Source organism: Homo sapiens, chromosome 9, assembly GCF_000001405.40.
Source record: "Homo sapiens chromosome 9, GRCh38.p14 Primary Assembly".
Taxonomy (NCBI): Eukaryota; Metazoa; Chordata; class Mammalia; order Primates; family Hominidae; genus Homo; species Homo sapiens.
In genome coordinates, this window is record NC_000009.12 from 3,659,791 (window position 1) to 3,666,790 (window position 7,000).

Genomic DNA, 7,000 nt, shown 5'->3' on the forward strand with positions numbered 1-7,000 from the left:
CCCACAACAGGGAGGATTTCTCATTTACCCTTTCCCCACAATAGGGAGCTCCTCCCATCTCCCAGGTGATCTCAGCAGGCCTGACTGCTTGCTTCCTACTCCTTCTGTGTCTTAGGCGTTTCCTGTGACTTCTCTGTCAAACGCCAGTATTCTCTTTTGATGTTCTATTTGAGGTGTGATTATCTAGTCACAATTTTGGTTCTTCTTCTGAAAGGGCCTGTGTCCAATGTCTCTAGAGAGCCTTCTTGAACCTCTATTCCTATTTGGGGAAATTTAATGAGACTTGGAAGTGAAGACAATTCTTGGTGGTTAACATCTTGTGATGGATTTAGTGATAATTACCGGACAGTTGGGAAATAGCACAAATCTGGGATAAGGGAAGGAGAGAAAGTTGAGGGAGTACTTAACAATGACTAGAGATGACCCTCTTGGGAATATGGAACTAGTTAAATGTTATTAGCTTTTCAAGTTGGTCTAGGACTATCCCTGGCTATACTGTCCAGGACATGTAGTAATTAATCAATTCAGCACCTACTTATTGAGTGCTTGTTAAGCATTAAGCACTATATGTGGGTCATAAGATATATTCCCTGCTTTTTTGGTGCTTATGCAGTGATTCTCAAACTATTATGATTAGAATATTCTAAAAACTTAAAAGTTCTAATGCCAGGGCACCTTTCCCCGACCCCCACCGCCACCAGCAAAGTTGTTTGGATTCACTTGTTCTGGGGCAAAGCCTAAGTATTATTTATTTAAAAAAAAAAAAAAACTCTCCAGGTGATTCTAATGTAGTCAGAAATATTAACCTGCCTAACGGGTGAGATCGGTTCCCAATGATAGGATGGGAATGAATTTTAGAGGTACACTGGGCTTATGTGCCCCTTAGCCTTTGCCATGACTATACAAATATTATCAATTTTGATGTCTACTGTGATATACAAAAGGTTATGAAACACTGACAAATACTTAGTATTTTAGCAAAATAGATCATTTTGCTAATTTTGATGTGGCATACATTACATTACATTACAGCTTACATTACATTACATTACATTACAGGCATACATTACAGCTTATGGGTGTGTGTATATGTGCCTGTGTGTGTGTGTGCATGTGTGCGCGCACACACATGCGCACATGCATGCACACACGTGTCTCTATAGAGGGGCAGTGGTGAAAAATCTGACCTACAATCTTAGGCAAGTGCTCTAGGCAGTCTTTTGCAGATCTCCCTAAGTAAGTCAAAACAAACAAAATCAGAAAACCAAGAGGATTTTAGAAGTGATCTAGCCCAACCCCTTTGTCTCAGAGATAAGGAAGCTACTTTAAAGTCACAGTTGGAGCTCAGCCATGGACTTCATTCTTTCAAATCTTGTACAAATAGCTTAATGTTAAATCTAACCCCTGCACAGGATGCAGTGTTTAACTGCATAAAGTGGAAAATTAAATGCCTTGGCTAACTCATATTTATAATGAGGCATCAGCCTATGAAGGACTTCTATTCTGCCTTTGTTCCATACACTGCACACCAAGTAAAATGACAGTCCAAGAGATAGACACTCAAGTAAAAGATCTCCAGAGGGGCTGATTATTTCCTTATGCCCCACAAGAAAAAGAAAAAAAAATGACACAAAACTTTTTCCCCAGGTAGGTAAAAAGCCAAGTTCCTGCCAAGCCTGCTTTCCTCTCTCTGGGCTGCCTCTCCAGTCCTCTGCCTGCCACTGTTTTCATTGCTATCATTATTTCTGTTTCTCTGAAGGTAGAGAATGCTGCCAACCTGCTCTGCCCTCCTCAGACTCTCTCGTCTGACAGTTCTATAAAGGCCCCTCCACCCAGCCTCTAGCCCATTTCTTTCTCTGGCTTTTGCAGGATTCCTCATTCTCCCTGAGGTCTTAACTATCACATCATGCACGTTCTGCCACTGCTGTTATCACTGCTGCTGCTGCTGCTGCTGCTGTCAGCTAGCTTTGTGACTTTCAGCACCCCCACTTCCAGCAGAAATTCTAGCTGCCCTGATTGTGAGAGTCTGAACACCGGTCTTCCATCCCTGATGATGTTTGGTGGATCTCTGCTCAAATGGGTTCAGAACACACACGGGGTGGAATCACTCTTGTCCTCTGCCAAGGGTGCGCCTGCTTCCACCAGCCCTAGGGGTTCTGTTCCCAAGACTACACCCTGGCACTCTGACCCTTGTCTTCCTTTTAATTCCCTTCCTCACAGTGTCTTCTTCCACATCTGACGTTCTTAGCTCTTTAGAGTCCCCAAAACTATCTGTTACCATATTTCATTATTGTTAACTCTAAAGATTTTGGCATCAAACACCCTGCATTTGAATGCTAGCTGTGTCACACATCAGATGCTTTACTTTGGCAAATCATAGAACTTTCTGTCAATAGGGATAATAATGGTACCTATATTGTAATATTGTGAGTGTTACTTGGATAATAAAGTACATAGCACAGTATTTGGCACATAGTAATTGCTCAACAATACCAATTGTTATTATTATTAGACTGTGCCCTCTAAATTATTTGTCTACGGATTATGATCTGTATAAATGACTTATCAATTAAGAAGACCACAGGTATGCAGAGTCTCATCACTCATACAAGACTGATGTCAATTAACTAAGAGAAGTTTCGTCACTAACCAGGAGTTTCACATCATAGTTCCACACTTTGCTTCTACTCCCAATATGGCTTGTTGACTTTTCACTCTCTTTACCCTGTTTTCTTTCTATGGTTCCCAGGGCTATCACTTTTCTTTATTTTGGTTAATACATATAGCTGTACACTGACCCAGTCTCCATGAAAAATACTGTCATATACTCCCTCTTTCCCTCTTTCCCTAATATCATCATCTCATAGAGATCAAACTCACATTTTCTGGCACCATTATTCTTTTTATAAAATACTTTACTTTTAAATTTTTACCCAACTACGTCTATGTTATTTTAGCTAGCTAAGCTGCTATAACAAAGAGATCTAAATACAGTGGCTTAAATATAACAGAAGCATATTTTTCTCTCATGTAACAGCTAGAGGAATGTGTGTAGTCCAGAGCATACAAACCACAAGTCATTCATGACCCCGAGTTCTTTCTGTCTTGTTATTCTGTCATCGCCTAGGGTGTTTATCTGCATGACTGAAGCTGTTTCTTCTTGATGTCTCAATTCCAGAAGGTGGGAAAAGGGAAAGTCTGGGTTACATGGCTTTATTCTTAAAGAAGAGACCTTAAGGAAGTTTCATTAATAATCATACCCTTTGGCCAAACTGAGCCGCTACCTAGCTGGCCACATCTTTCCAAAAGGCTAGAAAATAGAGTCTGTAGCTGCATTGCCCTCTATGACTAAAAGGAAAAGGGGAGAATACGTACTGGGGATATTCAGTGACCTCGGCCACACATACAGCATGATTGAAAGTTCAACTAGGACGTGGGGTGTATCATGGAAATGACAGTCATCTGCTGTAACCTTTCTCACACTCGATACTGATCCCTATAGGAAACCACTAGTAGAATCCAAATCTCTTTCTTTCTTTTTTTTCTCTTTTTTGAGATGGAATCTCGCTCTGTCGCCAGGCTGGAGTGCAGTGGTGTGATCTCGGCTCACTGCAATCTCTGCCTCCCAGGTTCAAGTGATTCTCCTGCCTCAGCTTCCCGAACAGCTGGGATTACAGGTGCGCCACCACACCTGGCTAATTTTTCTATTTTTAGTAGAGATGGGGTTTCACCATGTTGGCCAGGATAGTCTTGATCTCCTGATCTCGTGATCAGCACGAGCCTCAGCCTCCCAAAGTGCTGGGATTATAGGCGTGAGCCACCGCATGTGGCCATCTCTTTCTTTTTAGCTATTTTGATGGTTACCTATTTATATAATAATACATATATTATTTTAAATAATATCGTAGAGACTCTAAATAGCCTATTTAAATTATGTATCTTGACTTAATATCTTATTGCTTTCTACCTTCTATAAGGCTAACATGGTATTTTGGACCAATCCCCTTGCTGAGGACAACCAAAAAGATTGGATGAAGTATAAAAAGCACTTACTTGAAAGCATCAAAGACGTCCAAGATAGTGAGGAAGTTTAAAGTCAAGATCTAGGAAAAGACAAGAAACTAGAGAAAGAAACCCAGCCGTAAAATCACTTTTTTTCCCCCCTGCGGGCTTCTGCCAAGTCTGGGGAAGCAGCTGCAAAGCTAAACTATATTTTTTGATGATTCCTCAGAGCCGGACAAACAGAAGTCAGAAACTAAAACCTGCCAGGAATAGGGATTCAGGAGTAGGGATTTAATAACTCAAGCCCCCTTCGAGCTGAGAATCTGAAAGGCCACACTCTCAATATGAGGAGTAGCTGCTAGGAAACCAGCCCTGGCACAGAATTGTAGTCAGTTTTGCATCATTTAACAGTACAAGTAAACTTCAACTCTGACATTATATTAAGATATTTCTGGAATGATAACACACACTGCTATTTGCAGCAGCAAATGAATATCCTCTCAAGAGAAAGACATCATCATAACAGGCCTCAGCACTTCCTCCATATGACTTATAAAATATAATTTCCATCATACAATGAAAAATAAGGGTTTACAAGGCAACAAGATCACTGAATGAGTAACAGAAGACAGAGAAGCTACAAAAAAAGCCTCCAAAACATGAATTATTGAAATGATCAGATATGGTTCACAAAATAACGATGCTTTTTACATTTATGAAATAAATTCCAAGCTTAAAAACATCCGTGAAAAGGAAACTCTAAAATTTAATGTGACATATTAAGAAAAAAATCCAAAAATATAATACTCAAAATTAAGATGGGCTTAAGAGCAAATGAAATGTAGCTAACATTTTTAAATGGAAGACAAGAAGAAAACATCCTCCAGAATGCAGCACACAGAAATAAAAGGGAAGAATTGGAAAAGAGTGGATAAGAGGCATAAGTGGTCAGTGACAAGTTGTAGCCCAGAAAGTGTGAAGGGAATGGGACAGATATAAAATTGGAAGAAATAACAGCTCTGAATTTTTCAAAAGTAAAAACGATATCAATCTACAACTTTAAGAATCTCCATATATCCTAAGCAAAATAAATTATAAGAAACTCACACCCAGACATTGCAGCAAAACTTCAGACAACAATAGACAGAGACAAAAATCTTAAAGCATCAGAAAAGAAGCAGTTACTTTCAAAGGAAGAACAGTTAGACTGAGAACTGACTTCTCAATAGTAACAAAGGAAGCCAGCGAGCAATGGAAGGGTTTTCAATTAACACTGAAGTTTGATAAGGCAAAAAACAAAAACAAAAACAAAAAAACATGTTGTTACTTGTAGTTAAATTACTTTAAAAAATTGAAAAATTACAACTGTGAAGATAGTACAGACAAAAATTGGAATGATAAAAAAATCCAAATAGAACAGTTGGGATAAGTAGCACAAAATAAGATGATAAATTTAACTCAAATATATCAGTAATTACATTGAATATAAAAGGATCAAAAACTCAATTTGAAAGCAAAATGTGCAAATTCGATTGAAAACAAAAGAAAATGCAATTATGTACTGTTTATAAAAACTTATCTAAAATATAAGGATATAGAAAATTTGAGAGTAAAAAGAAAAAAGAATCCTTTAGACACCAACCCAAAGAAATCAGCTATAGCTATACTAATATACCGTTTTTATATAATAAATACAGTATAATAAACTCTATAGATAAATACATCTCTACATAATGATAAAATGTCCTATTTACCATGAGGATTTAAAATTTGCACACAACTAATAACAAGGCCTCAAAATATGTGAGGGAAACATTGACATAATTAAATGAAAAATAAATCCACAATCATAGTGAGACATTTTTATTATGACTCAGTAACTTACAGAAAAATAAAACAAAAAAGAAGGAACATACAAGATTTAAATAACGTGATTAACAAAATTGACCTAATAGACACAGCTGCAGAAAACTTATTCTTTTCAAGCATGCACAGTCACAAAATTCTCAGTAGAATATGTTTTCTAATCCAATGAAGTTATACTAGATATTAATAAAAATTAATTTGGAAATGAAGAAATATACTTCTAAATAACTAATGGGTAAAAGAAGAAATCACAATGGAGATTAGAAATAATTTGAACTAAATAGTGATAAAAATACACCAAATCAAAGCTTGTGGACAGCAGCTAATGCAGTACTGTACTTAATTATGTTAGAGAAGAAGAAAGGCAAAAAAATCAATGATCTAAGCATCCTTGTAAAGATATTATTAAAGAACAGCAAACCAACCCCAGATAAATAAGAAATAAAAATGAATAATGATTTGGGCAGACGTTAAAAAAATAAAATAAACATACAATAGAGAGGATCAGCAAAGCCAAAAGTTAGTTCCTTGGAAAAGTTGATAGAACAAATAAAGCCTTGGCAGAATTGATCCAGAAAAGGAGAAAGAAGGCCCATTAATCAATAAGAAGAATGAAAAAAGGATATTGCTACAGATTCTACAGATATTAAGATGAAAAGAGGATGCTATGAGCAAGTTTATGTCAACAAATTTAAACATTTAGATGAAATGGAGAAATTCTTAGGCAAATTATTTAAGAAATGGAGACTGTTAATAGGCCCATAAAACTGACACAATGATTAAAATCCTCTCCACAAATAGAACTCTAAACCCACCCAGATGATTTTAATGGTAAGTTCTATCAACTTTAAGGAAGAAATTATTACAGGTTTAAAAACTTTAAAAAATGGGTGCAGTCCTAAAATCACTTTGTAATGCTAGCATAATCTTGATAAGAAATGCTAACAAATGCAATAACAGAAGGAAAAGCTACCAGCCATTTTCATTCATGAATATAGATGCAAAAGTTTTAAATAAAATATAAGAAAGCATTATGACCAGGTTATATCTTCCCGGGAATATAAGATACAATATCATCAAATTTAACATTGATTCATAATAAAAATTTGTTAAAAAATGATGCAGAAAGAAA